Below are 25,621 nucleotides of genomic sequence, written 5' to 3'. Positions count from 1 at the left end.
GGTTCATTATTTGTGCTTGCATGCCCCCTCTGGTGGGAGGTAGCCTTCTGTCACCTGTTTCTTGGTGTCTCAGCCTGGTGGCGGGGGCAGAGGCATTCTCTATCGTCATCTTTCATGCTTGGTTGTAGACAGGCCCGATGTTCTTGGGTCTTGGGGTGGGACTTTCTCAGTGATCCGATCACTCTATAGTAATAAAGGATCAGAGGATCTCTAGTGGTGTCATCCCAGGAAGATTTACTGCTCCTCCCTTTCTAATTTCAATGAGTCTTCACCTAAGGTCAGCAGGGTCTGTCATTTTTGTTCTGTAGGAAAGAGGATCCAAGTGGGTCTTTGTACTTTTCCTGCAATTACTGCTGTTCCCCTTCAGCAGGCATGTACCTCAAAGGGACACTTTCTCCAGGCACCCACTCTGCTTCCAATCATTCTCATGGGCATTTGGGTGAGGTCCATAAAGAAGACCCTTTAGTCAGTGCAGAATACTCTTGAGTAAAGGCTCTCAGGAGTGTTATATTCTCATGCTAGCCCACAGATGACATTATATATTTTGGCTGAATTCTTATTACCAGGTTTTTTGAGGTCTGATATGGTTTGGTTGTATCCCTACCCAAATCTTACCTTGAATTGTAATAATCCCTATGTGTCAAGGGCAGAGCCAGGTGGAGATAATTGAATCATGGGGTCAGTTTCCCCCATACTGTTCCCATGGTAGTGAATAAGTCTCACGAGATCTGATGGTTTTATAAATGGGAGTTCCCCTGCACAAGCTCTCCCTTGCCTGCTGCCATGTAAGATGTGCCTTTGTTTCTTCTTTGCCTTCCACCATGATTGTGAAGCCTCCCCAGCTGTATGGAACTTTGAGTCCATTAAACCTCTTTTCTTTATAAATTACCCAGTCTCAGGTATGTCTTTATTATCAGTGTGAGAACAGACTAATACAGTGCCTGACATATCTTCCTACCATGCTCTGCTCCATGGAGACATGTAAATTTCCTTAGGTATCCAACTAGTTGGTTGCCCTGAGACCTCATCTGTTTTACTAGTTAAGGAAAACTTATGATTTCATGCATCATTTAAGTTTTCCTTGAAGTTAGGGTGGGAGTCATTCTTTTATATCTTTGTACATCCTAAATGGAAACTGGTACCTTCTATGTGACAAATATATTTTCCTAGTCCGTGGTTTGTTTCCTCACTTTTTATGACATCTTTTGCCCACAGAACATTTAATTTTAAAGTAGTCAGATTTATTCATCTTTTTATTTTTTTCTTCTCTCTCTTTTTTTTTTTTTTTTTTTGAGATGGAGTCTTGCTCTGTTGCCCAGGCTGGAGTGCAGTGGCATGATCTTGGCTCACTGCAACCTCCGCCTCCCGGGTTCAAGCAATTCTCCTGCCTCAGCCACCCATATAGCTGGGATTACAGGCACATGCCACCACGTCCAGCTAATTTCTGTATTTTTTGGTGGAGATGGCATTTCACCATGTTGGCCAGGCTGGTCTCGAACTCCTGACCTCATGATCCACCCACCTCAGCCTCCCAAAGTGCTGGGATTACAGGTAGGCGTGAGCCACCGTGCCTGGCCCATGTTTTTCTTATGGTCTATGCTTTTGAAGTTGGGTTGAAAAATCTTTTTCTACATTGAGTTCATAAATATGCTTTTTTATTTAAGAAAAAAAATAAAGCCATTGGTAAGAGCATCATCAATTTCAGATCATGCATCATTTTCTACTCACCTTCCTTTCTTTAATTATAGTGGATTGTACCACCTGGATTTTGCCTTGCTTGTATCTCCTTAATGTTCAATTCTATTTCTCTCTCTCTCTCTTTTCTGGCCATGTTACTTCAGCATTTAAATGTGCTTATGTATCCCAATTATTAAAAAAAAAAAAAAAGCTATTTCTTAACTCAGTGGCCTTATCTGCTTGAGAAATATCAGCTAAGTAGAGTGATGACACTGTTCCCTCTGTTCTTCCTACCTGCTGCTCCTCCCATCACTGACCATGCCTTTTCCAACTAACTTCTTTTCTTGTCCCCTTAAATATTTTTGCACCTTAAGATTAATTCCTCAGCCCTCTCTTCTTCTCACTATATGCATTTTTTTAGTGACTTCATGAATTATTTGGTTTTAACCATTAGCCAAATACACTTAACCAAAGATACTTCTCTAGACTTAATATTTCTCCAGAAAATTTAGACCCATGTGTGTTTCTAAGGCACCTCAGAACAACATGAGTAAAACTAAATTAACTATCCTTGACTAAAATTCCTTTTATTCTCTCCTGATAGGTTAGTGGCTTGTAATTTACTAGGTAGCATGATCTTTCTCTTTTGCATGAATTCACCTCTGATATCACATCTAATTCTATCACCAACATCAGGTAATTCTATTTAATAACTTAGAATCTAGATTCTGTTCTCTAATCATATACTTCTATCTTGGCTTAACCCTCATTATTATTTTATTTTCCTTGAATATTAACCTCTAAATAGGTTGCTTTTCTTATCAAGCTACCACCTTTCAGTACAGTCTTTACTTTTTGACACTGTAGTGGATTTTCTAAAATTCACGTATGATCATGTCACTCTCTTGCTTAAGTATATCTAATGTGGCTTCTTTCTGCTCTCATAATTAAGCTTATTCTCTCTAGCCTGGCCTTCAAGCTTTTTCTCTGATCTCCGCTTGTCTTGCTAGTTTTTCTCTGGAAGCAATTCTCATCTCAGATAAGGAATAACCACCACCATACACACAAAAATCTAATGGACAACATGAGGACAGTGCTTAATAATAGTATTTTATTCAGCATTTTTGCTAAATGAGTAGATTATAGCTGCTCTTGCCACAGGGGCCAAAATAGGTAAATGAATAAGATGATGAATATGTTAATTTGTTCCACCATAGTAACTATTTTGCCATATATGTGTATCTTATAACGTCATGTGCATATCTTAAATATACACAATAAAATGTATTTATTTTAAAAAAGAAGGAGACTCAAAGTTTTCAAATTGAGTTCTAAGAATGTATTTTTAAAGCTCCATGAGAGAAAAAGTGAAGGCAAGGAGTGAATGACGGGCAGGGGGTTAATAGGGCTTGTATTTCCCAGCCCACACCAAACAGAGCAGCTCTGCTTTTATCTGTTTTACATATAAGCCATTATATTTCATATGAAAAAATTTCATTGACAGGATAAAAAACATTAGGAAAACCAACATCTTGGATTTAGCCAAACTGAACTATTTGCAATTCTCTGACTTGTCATATTCTTATTTTCCCACATCTTTCATTCCTGCTGCTCCGTTGGCCTAGAATTGCCAGGACTCTCCCCTTCACGTAGTTCACTTCCTGGAGCCTCTTCCATGCAGTCATCCTGGATTTATTTGAGCCCTTATTTGGTGCTCTTTCCTTCTGCCCTATACTCTGATAATATCCCTTTCATGGCAGTTATCACATTCCACTGTAACTATTCATTTGATTTCCTCCTACTAAGACTGAATTCTTTTAAAGGCCAATCCTAAGTTAGTTATTTCTGTGTGCTCAGTGCCTTGCACATGGTGACTTCTTAATAAATGTTTGTTTATACAATAAATGGATGAATAGATTTATCTAGTGCTTATTGGAATCAATCTTGTTGCTATGGGGAAATAAGAGAATCAAATTTACGTTCTGACAGAGTTATTTTATTAAAAAGCAGAGGAAAAAATGTATATCTATAAAGTAGAAAATAAACAGTAATAAATTATGTGAGATAAGTTACTAGGGGAACTTAGGAGAGCATGGTATTGCTTTCAGCTGAAGAAAGAGAAGTCATCATGGATGAGGTGGCACTTAAACCTGGCCCATAGAATTTGAAGGTATGTCAATTAGGAATGTATCTGAGGATGATAGAATGGAATGTAGAAAGCCATTGGGTGTAATGTGACCCGTTTCTTCTGCATATTTGATATCATAGGTTGTCATCAACTCAACTCCATAACTGGCTCAGAGAGAGTTTTAAATTTTGGCTAGAAGCTGATAGGGAATACCAACATTAGAGAGTTTCTTTCTTACTTGTATGCTGCTTCATAGGAGGAAAAATTGATTAAACTCTTGACTTTGTGCATTCTTTTGTTCATGTCTCAGAATTTCTGTTCTGTCAAGAATCAGCCCAAATAAATACACACACATATAGATAGGTACATAAATTAATAAAATGTGAAAGAATCCATGAAGGAGGGAATATATTCCCATAGTAGTGTTTACTAAGTGTTTGTGTCAGTTTGGGTCTTTCAGAAACAGATGCCAAGATGAAATGAGACATGCAAAAGATTTATTGGGAGGACACTTGAGAAGGATAAAGGTGAGAGAGCAGGGTGGGAGAATCTTCAGACTGTAATACACCTGTATGACACTTCCACACAGAGACGGAAGGGGGAGAATTACACAGGAAGAGCCTCAGACTATAGTACAGCTTTAAGAAAGTCTTGGCCAAGCTGATGGGGAGCCCCAGAACAAAGATTGCTTGTTAGCAAAATCCCGCAACAGGCAGAAATGGCCTGACTATAATACTTCTGCCATGTGTAGGCACTTGGAGCGATCTAGGAGGCACATGGCTTCCCTGAGGACCTTGGAGTATTCTGCAGACATGGAGGCTCGAGGCTCAGACACCTGTATTTCTCACAGCAGGTCTCTTGATGAGACATCTGAGTGGTGCACCCCATGGTCCCACAGTGTGCATTCCCTAAAGGTTTAACTCATCTATAGATTTTATGTCTGTGATTTATTCACAAGAAATTTATAAATAATTGTTTTAGGCTACCAAACATCTTTACATGTAGAAGGCATTTAATGTCTTGCTGGGGTTCTTTGTTTATTTCTTGTAAATTTGTCTAAGTTCCTTGTAAATTCTGAAAATTAGGCCTTTGTCCGACGGGTAGATTGCAAAAATTTTCTCCCATTCTGTAGGTTGCCTATTCTCTCTGATTATAGTTTTTTGTTGTTTTGCTGTGCAGAAGCTCTTTAATTAGATTTTATTTGTCAATTTTGCTTTTGTTGCAGTTGTTTTGGCAATTTCATCATAAAATCTTTGCCCATGCCTATGTCCTGAATGGTATTTCCTAGGTTTTCTTCTAGGGTTCTTATGGTTTCAGGTTTTACATTTAACTCTTTAAACCATCTTGAGTTAATTTTTGTACAAGGTGTAAGGAAGGGGTCCAGTTTCAGTTTTCTGCATATGGCTAGCCAGTTTTTCCAGCACCATTTATTAGATAGGGAATCTTTTCCCCATTGCTTGTTTCTGTCAGGGTAGTCAAAGATCAGATGTTTGTAGATGTGTGGTCTTATTTCTGAGGTCTCTATTATATTCCATTGTTATATTTGTTGGTTTTGGTAACAGTACCATGCTGTTTTGGTTACTATAGCCTTGTAGTATAGTTAGAAGTCAGGTAACATGATGCCTCCAGCTATGTTCTTTTGCTTAGGATTATATTTGTTATACAGGCTCTTTTTTGGTTCCATATGAATTTTAAAGTAGTTTTTTTCTAATTCTGTGAAGAATGTCAATGGTAGTTTGATGGGAATAGCATTGAATCTACAAATTACTTTGCACAATATGGACATTTTCACAATATTGATTCTTCCTATCCATGAGCGTGGAATGTTTTTCCATTTATTTGTGTCCCCTTGTATTACCTTGAGCAGTGGTTTATAGTTCTCCTTAAAGAGATCCTTCTTTTTTCAATTGTTTAAAATAGCTTGAGAAGGAATGGTACCAGCTCCTCTTTGTACCTCTGGTAGAATTCAGCTGTGAATCTGTCTGATCCTGGGCTTTTTTTGGTTGCTAGGCTATTTATTACTGCCTCAATTTCAGAACTTGTTATTGATATATTCAGGGATTTGACTTCTTCCTAGTTTAATCTTGGGAGGGTGCATATGTCCAGAAATTTAACCATTTCTTCCAGATTTTCCAGTTTATTTGCATAGAGGTGTTTATAGTATTTTCTGATGGTAGTTCGTATTTCTGTGGGATCAGTGGTGATATCCCCTTTATCATTAAACTAAGCTTGTGAAGCTTAGTTTGGCCAGACATGAAATTCTGGGTTGAAAATTCTTTTCTTTAAGAATGTTGAATATTGGCCCCCAGTCTCTTCTGGCTTGTAGGGTTTCTTCTAAGAGATCTGCTGTTAGTCTGGTGGGCTTCCTTTTGTAGGTGACCTGGCCTTTCTTTTTGGCTGCCCTTAATATTTTTTCCTTCATGTCGACCTTGGAGAATATGGTGATTATGTGTCTTGGGGCTGATCTTCTAATGGAGTATCTTAGTGCGGTTCTTTGTATTTCTTGAATTTGAATGTTGGCCTGTCTTTCTAGGTTGGGGAAGTTTTCCAACTTGGTTCCACTCTCCTTGTCTCTTTCAAGTACTCCAAACAGTTGCAGGTTCAGTCTCTTTACTTAGTCTCATATTTCTTGAAGATTTTGTTCCATATTTCTTGAAGGTTGTGTTGGTTCCTTTTCATTCTTTTTTTCTCTAGTCTTGTCTGCCTACCTTATTTCAGCAAGATAGTCTTCAATCTCTGAAATTATTTCTTCTGCTTGATTTACTTGGCTATGGATACTTGTGTATGCTTCACAAAGTTCTTGTGCTGTGTTTTTCAGCTCCAGGTCATTTATGTTCCTCTTTAAACTGTTTATTCTAGTTAGCAGCTCCTGTAACATTTGATCATGGTTCTTAGCTTCTTTGCCTTGGGTTAGAACATTCTTCTTTACCTCAGCAAAATTTGTTGTTACCCACCTTCTGAAGCCTACTTCTGTCAATTTATCCATCTCATCCTCCATCCAGTTCTGTGCCCTTGTTGGAGAGGTGTTGCTATCATTTGGAGGAGAAGAGGCACTCTGGCCTTTGGGGTTTTCATCTTTTTTTTTTTTTATTGATTCTTTCTCATCTTCATGAGTTTGTCTAGTTTCAATCTTTGAGGCTGCTGACACTTGGATGAGGTTTCTGTGGGGACATTTTTGTTGATGCTCTTGTTGTTGCTTTATTTGTTTGTTTTTCACTAGTCAGGTCTCTCTTCTGTAGGGCTGCTGTGGTTTGCTGGAGGTTCACTTCAGGCCCTATTCATCTGGTTTGCTCCCACAACTGGAGATGTCACTTGAGGAGGCTGGAGAACAGAAAAGATGGGTGCCTGCTCCTTCCTCTGGTATCTCAGACCTCAAGAGGCACCGATCTGATGCTAGTAGGAATGCTCCTGTATAGGGTGTCTGATGACCCTTGTGGGGGGTCACCCAGTTGGGTGGCATGGGAAGCAGGACCCATTTAACAAAGCACTTTCGCTGTCCCGTGGTGGAGGGGGTGTGCTGCACTGGAGGGAAACCTGCTCTTCTGGGCTGCCTGGATTCTACAGAGCTAGCAGGAGGAAAGACTAAGTCTGCTGGTTCACAGAGACTATTGCCACGCCTTTCTCTAGGGGCTCAGGCCCAGGGAGATCAGAGTTCTGTCCCTGAGCACCTGGCTGGAGTTGTTGGAGTTCCTGTAGGGAGGCCTCGCCCAGTGAGGAGGGATGGGTCAGTGTCTGGCTTGAAGAGGCAATCTGGCCGTAGTCTGCCACAGCCTGTGTGCTGGGCTGTGGAGAATACCTCTCGGGACCCAGTCGTCCAGCCTCCCTGGCTTCAGCAGGGGTAAAGTGTGGCCTGGAGCTTCAGTGATAGCTGCCGCCCTTCCCCACTGGGAGCTTAGTGTATTAAGTAGCTAGCAGCTGCAATGTTGGCTCCTGCCCCTCCTCCAAGGAGCTCATAAGGTTTAGACAGCAAACAACAGCAGCAGTGGTGATGCCGCCCCTCCCCCCAGAAACCTGGCTGACTTAGGCAGATTCCAGCCAAGTGGCTGTTGAGAATCTGCATGGCTCTGTGGTTGGGACCCTAGGCCCCAGTGGCATGGGTTCATGAGTGGGAACTTCCGATCTATGGGTTGCACAGTTCCTTGGAAAAAGCAAGTTTCCCCAGGCTGAATAGCACACTTACTTCCTGCCTCCCTTGTCTGGGTATGGGGGCTCCCCTCCCCGTATGGCTCTCAGGTGGGCAGCCACACCACACTGCTCTTCCTTTTACTCTCTGGGTCATGCCAGCCACCTATCAGTCCTGATGACAGAACTGGATACCTCAGTTGCTGGTGCAGGATTTGTATGCTCTTTTGCTTCTTTTAGATGAAAGCCTCTGATCACCACTGCTTCTAGTTGGCCATCTTGGCCCCACCCCCCCTCCCCCAAATAAATTCCTGTACTTTTTTTTTTATCTTAAAGGGATAACTATGTAGGGATTTTTTAAACATTTCATTAAAAATGATTTTAACTAGAAAAAAATTAAATTTGTGGTAGGAATGGCAAGTTTCATTCTTATTGAAAGGACTTTTTTTTCCCTTCATATTTTGGTCATGATAAGCACTCACTAAGTGAGAGCACAAAACAAAACAAAACTAAATGAATAAAAGTTTTTAACTTCCTATCCACTACTGTTGAAAACACTTGTGTTTAAGTATCTTTATGCTAACTCCCCTTTTCCCTGCTTCTTTTCCTAAGATAGTGCCACTTGTGTGAGGAAAAGGGTCTCACATGACCATGTGGCATGGGACAAATGGAACTCATTTGTCTCATGTGTTACTGGGTGGATATTTGCTTTTGTCCATTGAGACACAGCAATCCTGGCCCAGTCACTGCTCCCCCATCTGGCTGGAGTAACCTGTAGCCTAAGCTTGTCCAACCTGCGGCCCCAGGATTGCTTTGAATGTGGCCCAACACAAATTTGTAAACTTTCTTAAAACATTATGCCTTTTTTTGGTGATTTTTTTTTTCTAGTTTATCAGCTATCTGGTAGTGCATTTTAGGTGTGGCCCAAGACAATTCTTTTTCTTCCAATGTGGCCCAGAGAAGCCAAAAGATTGGACACCCTTGCTGCATAGATTGTCCTCTCTCATGCTTTCTGACTAACTAGGCCTCATCTTGTCTCTAGATGGCAGAGAAAACCTACTGAGTTTTGGCCATATCCTCTATCTGCTTCTTGGCCTAGAAAGCCAACACTATAACCTCTGCTGCAGGGTCACCGTATCCCTTTTATCAGAGACATGTGCTAGGTCTCAGCTCAGCTTCCTTTTTATCCACACTTTGAGAGCCAGTAGTCTTTTCTCAGGCTTATCCATGAGTGAGAGGAGCAGAGGGAAATGCTGGGTTTAAACTGAGGCCCTGTCCCTCTGCCCATCTACTTGATGGGCTCTCTTCCACCCCCGGTAGAAAGTTCAATGTTTCCACAGGGACAACCTGAAAGATGGTTCCTCCTATATTTGCAATGGAGACAGGACATCCACTTGCCATCCACCAGTGAGTTCTCCTCCCTTCTGGGATTTAAAGTCCTAGAGAGGAGCACCACTCCCTGAACCCTGACTTGGTCTCCCTCACCTGTCTTTGTCTACCTCTGATTCCAACTTCATGGATTTCAGGAGTGTCTTCAGCTCATTATGTAAAAATTTTGGAATTTGACCATCCAGGTACATCACCATAGTTCACTAAATGAGAGGTAAAGGATTTAGCACATCTTGTTTCCTCAAACTTGTTTTGCCATTTTTTACACTGGACTAAAAAATATCACGTCTCGGTCTCTATAGATGATTGTGAGGTAAAGACTATTGTAAATAAGTTGCATTATTTAATATTTGCAAAGTGATTGCCCTCATTACAATTTTTTACATGTAATCACTAAGAAATCTGACACCTCTTTTTGCTCCTTTCATCTTCTGTACTTTTTATTTTAATCCCTTTATCTTATTTCTTTTAATCTCCATTTCCTTTTTTAAAAAAAATCTCAAATTTGATGAGAACTCTGGTATATGACACTGTCCCTGAAATATGCTATTAAACAGGAACCATAACAACTAAGGGCATTCTCCTTAACACCAATCTCCTGTACCTGCAATTTGCTGGCAGAACACTATCTTGACACGAAGATGCTATTTGATTTACCTATCACTGGTGAGTGAACAGTGCTGTACTAATGTTGAACACATCACATTTGCCCCTTCATTATGTAATGTCTCCAATTTTTCGATGTGTGTTGTTAGTCTTGTCTTCCTAATTAATAATAACCTTCTTGTATGATTTTATGTGTCTGTCAGATTGCCCTTTATAATGTGAGTGTACAAAATATTAACAAATATCTGTTATTGTAGTGGTCAGTGAGAAATATTGTTCAATTAAATATAACTGAACTATAACTACCAATCATCTTTTGTCCCTGGGGGAGGGTGAGAGAACCAAGAGTATTTTCTGAGTATGATGACCATTCAGCTTGTACCTCTTCTGAGTAAGATAAAAGATGTGAGAACTGGCCTGAGTAGAAATATGCTTAAAAGCTATCTCTTTTAAGTATGCTTGTGGTATACAACAACCACAATCTATTATTGTGAAAAAATTTTGCAAGTAGGCACAGAAAATAAACTGCTGTATGTTATCATAACCATAGGTAAATGCTCTACTTAACAGCTAAAAATGCAGTTACTTTCTTGAGCTTTGTGACTAATTCCTTCTGAAGTGTGTACTTGGATAACAAGTACCAAATCTTCAGTTTGTCCTCAGTGAAAATAAACAGAATATCAAGAGGTTATCTCATAATTCTTGTTTTGTATATTTAACTTCATTCTCTCTAAAATTGAATTTATTTTCACTTAGCGAATTAGTTTTGCATGGATAGTATGCTTAAAATGGGACCACATTAATGAGACTTTGTAGACATCTTACGTCAGTCTTCTCCTCCCATCCTCAAATTATACAAGTGCACATATACCGATAAACAGAATTAGATATTTATTTCATTAATTATTCACCGATAGTGTGCTGAGGTGTTATTTTGCTAGGATTCATCATACTGCCTCCTTTTCACATTTGAAGATGACTGATCAGGATTGTGGGTTGAGTCTTTGGTCAAGAAATATAGAGAAATTAACAAATTATATAGTCCTCATGTCCAAGTCACACATGCCTTGCAGTCTGCTACAGATATTATCTCACTATTAGCATTTGTCATAGGTCTTTGGGAGAACGTGGTGCTATGAATGTGTGTGTTCTTATCAGAAAAGACTTCTAAATTTAATGGTAAAAAAAATTAGGAAGCATGATCGCTGTTCAAGCTTTATTATTAATTCAAAACATAATGTTCAAATTGATGGATTTGGTCTAATTGATGGTGCAATAGCCTTCTACCCCCAGAAATATTCTTGATTGTATCCTTAGAAGCCAATATGTATTTATCTATAATTTTATTATACTATTTTCTAAAAATTCAAGAAGCGTTTTGAATTTAATTTCTGCCAGATTTTTTTAAACTAGAGCTGAATTATAAATGAAGCCACTTTACCAAGAACTGCAAAGAGTGAGGCTGTTGGTTTGTGAAGTTTGAGACATTATTAGTATTATAAACCAAACTTGATTACTGCTATCTCATTAAACGGCATTGGGCAGACATTTAAATATTTTTATACATTTTAATTCAGCTGGTAACTTGATTTAAAACAACATTGATTTTTTAAAAAATTTATTCTTGGTCATATATATCATGTTAAATATAAAAATGAATTTGTAAGTATTTGAGGCTGTCTGTATGACAGGGTATTAAGTTCTTGGAGAGTCTTTCTTTCCCCATGCTAATTTTCATCAATTTTCTATTGCTTTAATTTCCCCTTGAGCTTTAGCTTTTTAGAAGAATGATTCATTCTTTTCAGCATATACCATGATCATTAAACAATTACACCTTTATCAAGTAGAGCAGCAAAAGACTCCATGGATAATAATGAGGTTGGAAACTCTCCTGTACAACCTGTTGGCTCATCTTGGAAGAAGAATGTCATGCCAAATTATTTTTTATGTGGTCAGTAATAATGTTCTAACAAGGGTGGATGGAGAGATGAGCATAAAGGGCAATTCTAATGGAAAGAACGATAGTAATATTCACCTTGCCAAAACATGGTAATGTCTTGACAAGATGCTACATGCTCTTGCTGCTAAATTAGGTTTTATACTAAGTTAGCAGCCCCTATAGCTATCCACTATCTTACAGACTGAACTAGAAGATAAATAATACACCTTTCATGTTTTAGAAATCTTTCATATGACTATGTAATAATTGCTTTGAGAATACCTATTAAACCTAGACTTTATGATGCATTAACTGTGTGGAATGGTTCTGAAAGTATGAGTGGAGTAGGCAGGAAGAAAGTTTATTTGAATGTAGTTGCAGTCTCTACTTACCTTTACTTTTTAGCTTTATACTGAACTCCAATATGACTGAAATTTTAACTTTTGATGTTTCCTAGGTACAGAATTTCAGAGTGGGATATCAGATCTTTAGTGTGAAGATACATCTACATTAAACCAGGAATCACTAGAACTGACATTTGGACAAGAAAATTTGGAAAATTTTAAAACTGTGAAGGTTGATCATGGAAATTAAAGAGGAAGGGGCATCAGAAGAAGGGCAGCACTTTCTTCCTACAGCCCAGGCCAATGATCCCGGGGACTGTCAGTTCACAAGTAAGTATGTGTGTATCCCTCCCTGTTTTTGCATCTAAAGATGCAAATTGGGCCGATGAAACTTACACATACATACATGCATTCATAGATTCATAGGAACTTCGGTTCTAATAAATGGCATGAAATTACCAAAGTATTTTTCCTTTGCACTATTTACCTTGGTGGCATGAGTGTATGATATGCCTCTCATCTTTTATCTTGGGTAAGATAGATGATAGTCCATGAAATGGTTAAATATCAAATAACAAGATTAAATATCTTGAATATATATTAAGAGCCTAATGAATACTTTTTAAGTATACCTTCTAGACACTAATACTTTCTAAGAATAACTGGCATTTATATAATCTTATATGGGAATTTTTTTATACTGTAGAAATTCTCTCTTTAAACCCAAAAGGTACTTAAGTTGAAAGCATTAAGAAAAAAATTGTTACACTAGAAATTTAGACTGTCACTGCCATACCAGAGAGCACTAGGCCACAAATATAGAGCCAGTGGAGATTTGGCCAAGTTTGCATGTGAACATTAAAATTGGTTTTGTATTACTCAAGTAAATAAAATCATTGGAAGAATTGTATGTTTTCTTTTGTATTTAAAATTCTAGGGTTTGGGTTTTATTGTTTAGCATGAATTATGCCTTTTATGCCTTTTTCCTTTCTTTTCAGAAGATTCCTGTAGTCCAATTATTTAACACTGGCAAATATATGCCTAACCTTCTCTTTTAATTTACATTATAAAGCTAATCTTTAGAAAATTGTATTGGTTGGATGCGTTTTTGAGAAATCTGATTGTCAATGTTGAAAGCAGAGTTAATTGCTAATGACCTTTTAAAAAAACGCAGACATTTCAAGTTCACAAAAACCTACCTAATGATTGTCACTTTAACCTCTCTTGAAAAATCTAAAATTGTTAACCAAAGCAATTGCTAAATGTCAGCAGGAGAAAAAATATAGTTACTGTGCAAAAATAAATAATAAATAACTGTGAATAAAAAGCAGTTAATTTTTATACAAAAAGGTGATTCTTAAAATATATTAGTGACCAAATGCCAGTAAATTTAAATAGTATCTGATGAATGCACCAGCAAAAATAAGCAAGGAAAGGATTTGTATAATACTCTTTCATTTATTGCCAAATAGTTTACTTTTTCATACATGTTAGTTTTGCTTCTTTGGCCACCCTTGAGTTGTAACAAATGGCCTCCCGTTCATACATCCAGTCATCCACTCTTGTTTAGGAAGCTGCTACACTGTGTGTGGATTTTAGGCATCTACCCATATCACTTCCCACAATGTGATCACTCTACCTTCTAGCTGTTAGATGGTTCCATTTCTGTACCTTTGTCCCCAGACTCACTTTCACTCCTAGCTCATCTTAAATTATTTAGCCATCTTGTTATATTTTTTAAACATTGCTGACCAAAGGAATGGAAACATTTTACAAAATGTTGGTTTGAGCTATTAATAAATTAGCAGAATAACCAGCACTACAATGTCCATCATAACCTAGCTGAAGATACCTCTTTTGTTACTGATTTACTGTTTACAGCAGGTTAGAGTGGCTTGGAAAAAAAATCCATTTAAGAGAGTATTTTGGTAAGGGGGTTCTTTATGAAGGATCCACTTCTGTCTACATTGCATCCAAAAGAGATAAACACAGTTGTGAAATATGTTTTATGTTTGCCATGGCTTACAAAAACATTTCTTGGTTTCTTTATAACCATACAGATAAAATGACCAATCAAATCTTAAGTCACATCTAGTTCTGCAACAAATATTATGCCCTGCCCTGAGAACTGATTATTTATAACCCTGATAAACCAAGTTTATTCATTCTGCCAAATACTGTCTTTATTCATTCTGGTCACAATGAAGCATAGTAATATATATTGACATATTCTTGATAATTCAATTTTTTAAAAATCTGAATTTGCTCCTATTATTTATAGGTATCCAGAAGACTCCAAATGAACCGCAGTTGGAATTCATCCTTGGTAAGAAATTCCATCTTATTTATATCAATAAATATAAGAATTTGTGTAGTAGTTTGCAAAGTATAGGTAGATTGCTTACATCAGTACATATTTGACAAATTTTTATGAACATTGTTCTATTTTTAAAATTGTTCTATAAGGTAGGTGTTATTTTCTCCAAATTTATAGGAATTAACTTGCTGCCCAAGGATACAGGGTTCAGTGATGATAGTTTTGCCTCTCAACCAGGTCTGCTGATCTCACATTCCATGCCCAGCACTCAGTCTAACGTAGTGACTGCATTTTGTTGCTAACCAGCATTCCTGCAACTCTGTTTGTCTAATTTTCTATACCTGGACTGGAGACTGGCCACCTATAATTTCTCTTTGTGTTCTTTATGGCATTTCCAGGATTCTTGCCCATTTCTCTCGTATTCAAGAACATTCCCTGACTCTTCCATATTGATTTTTGTGAAAATGCCAGTGACATTTGAGAATTTAACTTTCAATCAAGCTTTGACTTGTTTAAGCAACTCTAAATATCTGTCACATGTAAAAATTTGTAACTTTGTCCAAGGATGAATTAAAAGTGTGCATTCTGAGACCAGTCCACTACTTAACTAATGAGTGGAAACTACTTTATATGTGAATTAAGTATGACTGCAAAAATACCATTAGGAAATTAGCTACAAAGAGGTACTTAAAGTAAAAATGTGGTTCATATGAACTATATAGACTGGTCTTTTTTTTTTTTTCCTGTCATGGTTCTGAAATATTTCGGAAAGACAGTAGTATTTTTATATTTTATTTTAAACTAAGTTTTACAGACTAATACATGCACATATTCAATTTCGTATACAGAGACCACATATAGTATTATAGTATCAAAATCTTTACATATTAATATATATATTTTCTAAAGTTTTGGGAGCAAATTGAGATATATATATATACTCTATACTGGGTTTTAGTGGTTGGAATTTCTAAGTATTTTAGGAACATGCATTTTTATTATTTTTTAAATTTATATTTTTTGCTGAAAATATTTTATTTTAAAATATGACTTATTGAGACCATAATTGGTATGTAATTCATTTTTTGAACATTATTTTTAAAAAATATAGCTAAAAATTGTGCTATAAATTAAATATTAAAGATTTTTAAATTTTTCCAGGTATTCAGAAACAGGCAGAAATGTGAAAAACTCAAGAAAATTTTATAGTATCAAAAATGAGGCTATTATTTTTTTCTCCCTCTCTCTCTAGAGAGTTTTCAGATTGTATCAGATATAAAAAGAATGTGTTTTAGGAAATGGAGCTGAAGAGCAAAAGAAAGGCTAGGCACTCTTCACTCGTACAACTTGAGCTTTCATCTGTCCATCTTTCATTTTTAAGAGAAGAAACTCACTTTTTACCTTTTTGACAGCACTTCTGAAAAGTGAAGTTTCATTAGAGTGATTTGATATATTTCCAAGCACAAATAAAGCTTTCTTGTTTGCCTGCTGGAGAAAGAGGGAATCTGAAGCAGCAGAAGCAATTAGGGTGGCAATTGTTAGGCAAATGTGGTGGCCAGCCTTCAAGAAATGGCATACTTGAACCAAATACCTGTCTTCTAGTGCAATTAAGAGAATCTATCTTGTTCAAAGACCTAACTATGCTGTTTGTTTAGAAAGCCAAGTAAATTTCAGTAACAACACCATCATCACTTATATTTCCAGATTTGAATCAAGAATTAAGAGATTAGCAGCTGCAAGAATTTATTCATAATAATGTTCTACCAGTATAAAAAACTTCAATTTCTTTTTTTATATATATTTTTAAAATATACTAAGAAACAACAACAGATAATTTTATCTTGTCAAATGGCAAGAAATGCTTGATGAGCGAACACAAGTTTACTAAAAAAATATTATTTCAAGTCATCATGGAACTGTATTGTTGATCCTAGAAGACACAGTCCCCAAACTGTTAGGTTCCTTAGCACTTTAAGATCTTCAACTACACCATTTCTTGAAGAATTTTTTAAAAACTACTCTTTCAAGGGTATTACAGATAAACCCGTGGATGTTTTACTGTCCATTTTTGTCATTTTTTTCTTTGAGATTTTTTAATTCCACAAATCCTCCGACGTCACCTATTATTGTATGAGTAACTTCTATTCATTTCCCAATGAAAGAATAATAGCTTCTTAAATATTTTTATCATGTTTAAGGGTGTGCATATTTATTTAATCAGAAGTAAAACAAGAACAAATTCTAGGAAAAAGAAATTCAGTAAGGAAGAGGGCTTTTTCGTCTAATTTTAACTAAATCTTTGATATTTGATTCTCTACTCTTAACCAAAGTATTCAAATTATTTAGGAATTTCAATGACCTTGCTTTCTAAATTAGGAAAACAGCCACACCAATCAATTTGCTAGGTGCCATATTGCTTTGTATAAGTTATTTTCCATCAAGGATTTGTGTCTGCTTTGTGTGCTGCTATATAATAATTATGTCTTGCTGAAGTTCTTCTGCTTATTGAATTCCTCTACTGAAGTTCCTTACTTATTCAAATAAGTAAGGTAGGAGGTACTTAGTCAATTGAGCAGCTAATTGGCTAAAAGTGTCTTGAGCACAAGATAAGCATGTACTGAAAAACTGAGTATCTCTTGTCCATTGTTAACTGTATTTCTAATGGTTGATTGCATTTAAATTAAATAATTCACCCCTACAACTGCGACTCTGTTTCCTCATATTTTGTTTCTTTGTGTTAATACTCTTTTTATTTTCATAAAGAAAGAAATAATTAAAAACCTAAGAGAACACTGAGTTTGTTTATGGTTTAATAAAATTGTTTTGATTTCAATAAAGCTGACATTTACGAAGAGGGATCATTTCTTAAAAACTAAGAACATTTCTTTATGGAAACAATTGTGGAAAATGTATAAAGGAGACTAATCTTGACAAGTATATAAAATACACTTCTATGAACTACTTTAAGGTTTTTCTCCTGTTAATTATTCGCCTCCACTTATTATGTCTAGAGTCAATAGAATGCTTATGAGAATATGTCTTCATATTTTTGTATGTACACCACATATACTATAAATCCAAAACAATAGATACTAATACCTATTAAATACATAGGAAAGAATGGCATGCATATGTTTGCATATGTGTTCCTTGTGTTCTTTCCTTGACGCTCTGAAGTAATGTTCTTGAAATTAATTCCTTGATGGCTAATACTCAATGCAAGCCAAATGACCAGATATGGGGTACAATAAAATATACATTTTGTACATGTCAACAAGCTTTGGGGTTGATTGTGATACGAATGGGGGCTTGGAAGCTAGAGTGAAAGCATTAATAAGCACAGGTCATTTATTCATCTAAATTATATTGGGAGAGGCATAGAAAGCCTGTATATAAAATCATTTCAGATAGTGTTAAGTTCTATGTAGACAGAAAGACGAGGCCACTGGATAGAACATATCTGGGGGAGAGGCACTTGACTTGGGCGAAAGAGAGACTACTTTAGATATAGTTTTCAAAGAAGACCTCTAGGTGCTTATGCAGGATATAGATACTAATTTGGATATTGTTCATATTGAGCCTAAGAATTGGGTGACTTTCCAAGTAGGAGGGGACAAGCTATACTAGACATTGAAATGACACATAATAGGGTTCTTATAATGGGAATACTGGGATCGAAGGGTAGTAAATTAGGTTAGTGATTTGACCAGGAATGAAACCAAGTTATACGTTGTTCTGGTTTCAAGGTAAGAAAAAAAAAGCCACAGTGAAAATGGCAAGATAGTGGAGGACCATTTGCTGGGCTACTGGAGTCCCAAGATCAGAGTAGGACAATTGCAGGATAGACTAGATGCTGAGCTAGTGAGATCTCATTCTCATACTTCTTGTATTGTCCCCTCACTTTCACCCTTACCTAAGCTGCAGCTATCTGAATAATGGGATCAGGCCTGGTGATTGGATGCTGCTGAACATCTAGTGAGTAAAGGATGGAGAGACATGGGATTTGAAGCCAACCGATTGTTAGATCTTTTGCCTTTTGTGGAGCTGTTTTATTTTAAGAATCCATGTATTATGTATAGAATAATTTTCTTTGGAAAAGTTTTTTCCTCTTAAATTTAAAATGTGCTGACTCCTTCACCATAGGTTTCACTAGCACATAAAATAGGAGTAACCTGTGATTCAAATTGTTTAACAGAGCCATTATTTCTTGGTTTTCTCTAAAATGGGTAAATCTACATTAGCTGGTGTAATTTTATATTAATATAACAAAAATTATCACAAAAAATAAATAATAGGCAATGTGGAAACACATCACAATTATATCTAGAATGTGGCCATCCATCATACATTTTTAGACATATTTAACCCTCTTTTTCCTGTTTCACCATCTCATTTCCTGGCTTTTCTTCTATGTCAAATTCAGGAGGGATGAAAGAAAGTAAAAGCCACTGTATTTCATCCCCAACTCAGAGTTGATGAATATAAGCTATTATTTAATTTTTAGAGTGAAACATACATTCATAAGATAGGATATTAATCAGTCATTAAAAATCATTTATCAGAAGGATATTTCATCACACAAAAGAATATGAAAGTTTTAAAAGCAGGATAATATGCACAATATGGCCTTTATTTAACTATCCGTGTCTGTGTGTGCAAGATAACAAGATTGGAAGGTGTGTGTATCTTCAGTCATGGTTCTCACCAGTTGGTAGAATTTTCATTTCCTTTGTTATGCTCTTCTATATCTTGTAAGGTCTTTGCAATGTACACATGTAAATTTCATAATCAAGTGTTGTTGTTTTTAATAAATAACCTGAATGCACTGAAGAAGAAAAATGGCATATCTTAAGTAAAATTCTACTTCTTGCCTTTAATTTACTCTAAATAGAATTAGAGAAATTAAACTACTACTCTTGAAATCATTAAAAAAACAGTTAACAGCTAACCTATTTCCTAGGGTATCTAAGAATATTAGGGATTGCATAAAAATTTTATGAGAAAGCGTAGTCACTGAGGCTAACTAAGGAAGACTGACTAAAGCCAATTTTTGAAGAAAGGAAACAGGATTAGAATAATTAGAGGAAAGGGGAAATTACATTCTAGAGTAGGAGAGCTGTATGAGCAGATGGTTTGTGTTTGGAACAAGATGAAAGCTCCAAATTCAGAACATACAAAAAAGACACACAATAAATCATTATTTATTATACAAGCTACATATAGAAAGGCCCGCCATCTTGTATTTCTAGAAGGAAAATGAAAACAGTATTCTCCTCAAATAGGATTCCTGATTAATCTACATCCTGATCCTTTGGGAAGAGTGGTAAGTACATAAAAAATACATAAAGGTTTTTTTTTTTATAGGAAATTAACTTCATATTCACTCTGTAAGCCACCACTTGTAGAAGGTCTGTTTTTTTTCTATGGAAGCGGATGATTGTAAAAAGTGTCATGTGGATATGCAATTCAGTATACATCTGTACCAGGTAAATGATGTGTACCGTCCTAGAGTTTAATGATTAAAATTCAGTTTTTTCACAACAATATGTACTGGTACAATGACAAGAGGTCCTTAGGTAGGTTAATTCAAATATTATCGTGGCTATAAATAAGGAGTGCTTATCCTCTTTGGTGGTTAAGGCTTTGTCCAGGAGAGAGCTGATTCTAAATACTTTGTCTGTTAGGTCATGTATTAAATAATGTGAACTGATTTTGGATTTTATATATGCAGGTACTGTATTTTAGTAGCCCATTTAGGGGAAAAAAAAGATAAAATCATGTGATCAGTTTTCTGTGCTCGGCATTTAAAAATGTATAGAAATGTGCCCCAACTGACAATCTGCACAAGAAAATGTCTCATCACTTTACAGACACAGCATTTACAACTTGCAAGGGCCTTCATTAACCTGAATGTCAGGTCCATTCATACTTTATGAATTGCTATAAATCAGGCATTGTTTTATATGTTTTTCTAAAAGGAAAAATCATAAGAGGCCCAACTTATGAATTATCTTCTATGTTCACAATCCTACTCTCTTGCTGGTCTGTGTTCTATAAATGATTATAGAGCTCTGACTTTTTTAAAACTCCAGTGGGAGAATGGAGGGTTTTAGGATATCTTCTTTAGTATTTTTGCCTTTTACATGGCATGCTAGCTGAAGGGAATACCAAGCACAGAGGTATATTTTTGCATTTATTCTATTGATAAAACTCTTACTTCACCACATAGGATGCAATAAGAGAACCAACGGCTAAGAATTAAACAAGGCCTGTGCTTGCCTTATTTTATATTTTGCTGCCTCATTATAAGTTGATTGACATCCATTTTCTTGATTCTGTTTTTTGTTTTTTGTTTGTTTGTTTCTTTTTAGATAAGGTTTCACTCGGTCACCCAGACTAGAGCACAGTGGCATAATCATAGCTCACTGCAGCCTCCAACTCCTAGGCTGAAGCAATCCTTCCACCAGCAGCCTCCCAAGTAGCTAGGACCACAGGTGCACATGACCATGCCTGGCTAGTTTTTTTCATTTTTATTTTTTGTAGAGAGGGGGTTCTCACTATGTTGCCCAGGTTGGTCTTGAACTCTTGGGCTCCAGTGAATCTACCACCTCAGCCTTCCAAAGTGCTGGGAGTACAGGCATGAGCCACCACACCTAGCCTTCTTGCTTCTTATAGTGTAACACATCCCTTATAAAACATTGAATTTCCCTGAACTACCATTTTCTGGGCGCCTTCTAATGACAAGTCATTGTTCAAAGCCCTAGGAGGACACAGCAACAACTACCATTTTTTCAGCATCTATTATGGGCTTAACTTTACAAACAGCATGTCATGAATTTCTCACCACAACTCTACAGGATAATAATATTAAAAGTAACTAACATTTATTGATTGCTTACTTGTTTGCCATATGCTGTTCTAAATAATTTACATATATTAATTACTTCTTATCATTTCATTATGAGTAATTGCTCTTTTATCATCCCTGATTTCTATGTAAGAAAACTTAGAATTAAACTGGTAAAGTAGTGAGCCTAAGATTTGAACCCAGGAGTCTGAGTTCATACTATAATATCTCTCCCATATTATCATTACTGGACAGATTAAGAATCCTAGATTCTCAACGGTCTACGTTCTAAAGATCTTACAGAAGCTGAATGATGGAGTCAGGATCTAAGCTGAGTTTTGTCTGATTTGGAGGCTCCTGCTTTTAACCATCAGGCAATATCCCCCTCCTCACTGATTTGTACTTCCTAGGAGTTTTCAGGAGGTGATGAGGATAAACAACTTTAATAATGTCAGGCAGATTGTGGTAAGGGCAAAATAAAGGCATAAACCAAAAACTATGGAAGCGCTGAGCAAGTATAATTCATTGTAACAATGGCATCAAAAACAGCATCTCAGAGGAAGAGGCATTTGGACCAAGTCTTAAAAGAATGAGCAGGATTTCAGTTGGTTTAGGAGGAACATGAGAGAATTCAGAAAAACGAAATAGAAAAATACATGAAATCCTAGAGCTCATTTTCCAAGGTGATGCATTTAATGCTCATTTACATTTCTCTCTTTATTGCTTATAATTCCACTGTAAAATAAATTAAAGCTCTAGAAATTCTCTTGCAATATTCTATAATTGTTGCATGTATATCAGAGACTCATTTTAAAATTCTAAATGAACACAAGTCTTTAAACATCTTTATTGCCACCAAATTATATGTAGGTATCATGAAGTATTGAGTCTTACTGCCTCTGGGGCTGTGCTAGATGAAACTCAGAGGAGGCTCAGGCCATGCTGAGCTGGACAGGGAGGATTTTTTAGGCAGGCTGTGCCTCTAATTGCCTACTTATATAGACAATAATTTTCCCATTGAGCCTTTCTTTGAGCTATGTCAATTTTGAGAGCATCGGATAACTAGCAGTACTTTTGAGGAGATATTTTTCAGAACAGGCATTCACCAACAACTCAACAACAAAAATAAAGACAACAAATAGAAATGGATTTGCATTCCAGGCTGAAACTGAGCCTAAGTAGGGAGGCAATATAGCTTCCAACTAAGAACTAGGAGTATGATGCCAACTTGCTAGTGTTTGAATCCTATCTTTGCTACTCTATAGCTATAAGGCATTAGAAAAATAGCCCAATGTTTCTGAATCTCTATTTCCTATCTGGAAAATGGGAAGGATATTACTATTTACCTTATAAAGTTCTTGTGATGATTAAATGAATTAGCGTAAGTGGTTGGTTAACTTATGATTAATACTTCCTTGAATAAATGACTTTATCACACTCAAAACTTCCTTGAGCAGGGAGTCTAGCCACTGAACTTTTGTGCATAGTAATTGCCATCACTTGCTGAACACCTTCTAAGCACAAGGCATTAAACACTTTTGACATTTTCTCCTTTGTTCCTATTACAGGCTCAACAGTTGCCTCCCATTACCTATGTTTCACAGACAAGTTCATTCACTTGTGTGAAGGCCTATATCTAGAATGTAGAGCAATCTGGATTTTAATTCCAAAGGCCATGTTCTTTGTGGTCTATGATTAAAAGTACAGGAATGGGAAAGAGAACAGCAATAAAAGGTTATCTAAGGCCTACATGAGGTTTTTGTACTTCTGATATAGTTATTTAATTGAAGGAAGAGAAAATGAACCAATTAGAGCTTCTTTACACATCTGTCGGGTGGGTAGTGGTTTTCTGGTGACCAAGATTTAGCATGTTCTGCAGTTGGATTGTAGCCTGTTTTTAGTGACACTGGTTTAAATTCACATTTGGTGCACCCCGCAGATATGAGATATGATACATCAATTAATAAATGAGAAGTATATAAGACCTCAAACTTTTCTCTCCCACTTCTCCTTGCCAGGACTATATCATTTAACTGAACTGTTGTTGACATAAAATAGATCTATTCTTCTTGTCATGTTTCTTTCTAAGTAATACATTGTAGGAACTTTTTAATTAAGGGATATCTTTAATCAGGTTTAACTTCACAGGCTTAAATTGATTATTCAACATGGATTAAGCAAATTATTTATTAGTTATTTTTTCCTAGATGTTTCCTTTATACTTTTTTTTAATTTGTCTTTCATCCATGACCAACATATCCCATACAGTTTATTTCTACTTCTTTGTGGTTTACCTAATTACTTTCTCCCTCCATTGTCTAATTACTGAGAGCATTGGTCACTGAAGCAAGTCCCTCTGTGCAGCATCTGTTGCTACTTAGGGGTAATTGAGGAATCAGGACTACCTCAGGGCTTTGTTTATCAGATGCTTTTGCTTTCTGTAAAATCAAAAGCCACCAGGGTTGGGAGAGAGAGAGGTCCCCTGATGTTGCTGTCTGTGTGCTTGAAATTTGTCAGTCAGTCTTCTTGTTGAGCAGATGGCATCCAAATGTATCTTAAGTCACTTGGGGACCACGCCATGGGGACATGAAGAGACCTAATGGAGTGCAATTAAATATTAAAGATAAGTTCTCTTACATTTCTATTGTACAAAACAGTCTTTGCCCCAAATGCTTCTTATTTGAGCTTTTGTAGTTGGCAAAGGCAATGTTATTCCTGTTTTGTAGTGGAAGAAACTAAATCTTTGAGTGGTTAAGTGACTTGCCTGCAGTGGCATTTCTGGTAGAAGAAAGCCCAAAGCTTAAGTTCTCTGTCCCTTACTCCTCCATCAGCTCTACCAGTGACAAAGAGATTATTCTCAGCTGTTATCCACAGTGATAAGGTGGCAGAAGTCCGTTTGAGCATACGGGTATTCCCAGGTCAAAATTTGCTCAAATTTAGAATGTCAGTTTTATCCCAGTGCAAATTACTTTTCCCTCTAAGCAATTCCAAGGCCCACAGCTTTAGGTAATATTTATAAGCCTTTGTTTTCAAAATGTGTAACTCTTGCTCTCACTTTTCCACAGAGCTTTCTACTTCCATATTCAACTGGCTACCAGATAACACCACTCGCTTGTTTAGGAGGTTATCTTAAAAATTTTAAGATGGCCAGAACCTGAGTTTTTAAATCTTTACTTTTGTCCCCCCAAATATTGTATTCCCCCATGGTATCTATCTCCATAAAGCACACCACCATCCACTTAGTTACTCAAATCCCCAAACCATAATGCCTTCTTGATTCTTCTTTTTCTCTAACCTTACATTAAATCCATCATCAAGTCCTGTAAGTTGTAGGTTGAAAACATATTCTGAATTTCACCACCCCTTTCCATCCCCACCACTGTCCTTCAATTCCAAGCCACTGTGAACTCTCACCTGCGCCAGCAGGCAAGTCCTCGTGAGTCTGTTTCTATTCTTGTCCCTGCTCAGTCTCCACCTGATGGAAAAGCCAGTCTTCTAAAAATGGAAATGTAATTTCTTTACTCCCCTAGTTAAGATCTTCCAATGGCTTCAATTTTACTTAGAGTAAAATCAAAATGGGTCTTAAGGAGCAGGCCATTCTCACCTTACCTTGTGTTAATTTTCTAGCTCACTCTCTATCAACCCATGGGGCTTCTTTCTGCTTCTCAAATAGGTCAGATGTTTGGGTCTTCATACTTATTGTCCCCCCTTAGCTGGTTCCTTGGTATGTTTTAGGTCACAGCTCAAATGCCACCTCATCAGAGAACATTTGCCTGATCTACCAGTCCCTAACACTCTCAAGTTTATTACACTGTTTAGAATTCTCATTGTTTTTTAAAAAAATTTCTTGTCATACTAGACTATAAGCACCATAAAATGGGGAATTTATTTTCTTGTTCAATGCTGTGAAACTGTCACCTAGAATCATATTGGGCACATTTGGACGTTCAATAAATATCTATGGGCTGATATGCATGAATTCCATTGCTTTATCCTCACACATTTATTCATAAAATAAATCAATATATTTATATATTCCCTTGAAATGTTTCATAATTATTGCCAACACAATTATTTGTAAAAAGTAATCCATTTTAAAATTTCAAATGAATATTTAACCTTTAAAATTTCATTGTTTGCAAATGAATATATTATATTTTAGAGAAATAGAGTCTTTTGGCCTTGGGGTTCTTTTAGAGAAAATTGACAAGAAGAATCAGCTTATAGGCTGGAGGTGAACAAGTTGAGTTCT

At 36.5% G+C, this 25,621-nt stretch overlaps 1 protein-coding gene across 36 annotated transcripts in view; it reads left to right on the top strand.

Moving 5' to 3' along the window:
- Positions 1-25,621, top strand: part of INPP4B (inositol polyphosphate-4-phosphatase type II B) — an 823,376-nt gene that overhangs the window by 402,832 nt on the left and 394,923 nt on the right. For all 36 annotated transcript variants that reach the window (NR_169617.1, NR_169615.1, XR_007057981.1 and 33 more), the window contains 2 exons: positions 12,319-12,535; positions 14,487-14,531. Coding sequence is in view for 33 of the 36 variants with exons in the window: in NM_003866.3 (NP_003857.2) it covers positions 12,445-12,535; positions 14,487-14,531 (136 nt within the window). In the remaining 3 variants the exon portion in view is untranslated. The remainder of the gene's footprint in view (positions 1-12,318; positions 12,536-14,486; positions 14,532-25,621) is intronic.

Source organism: Homo sapiens, chromosome 4 (genome assembly GCF_000001405.40).
Source record: "Homo sapiens chromosome 4, GRCh38.p14 Primary Assembly".
Taxonomy (NCBI): domain Eukaryota; kingdom Metazoa; phylum Chordata; class Mammalia; order Primates; family Hominidae; genus Homo; species Homo sapiens.
Note: the sequence above shows the minus strand (reverse complement) of the source record. Positions and strands in the feature narration are given on the sequence as shown.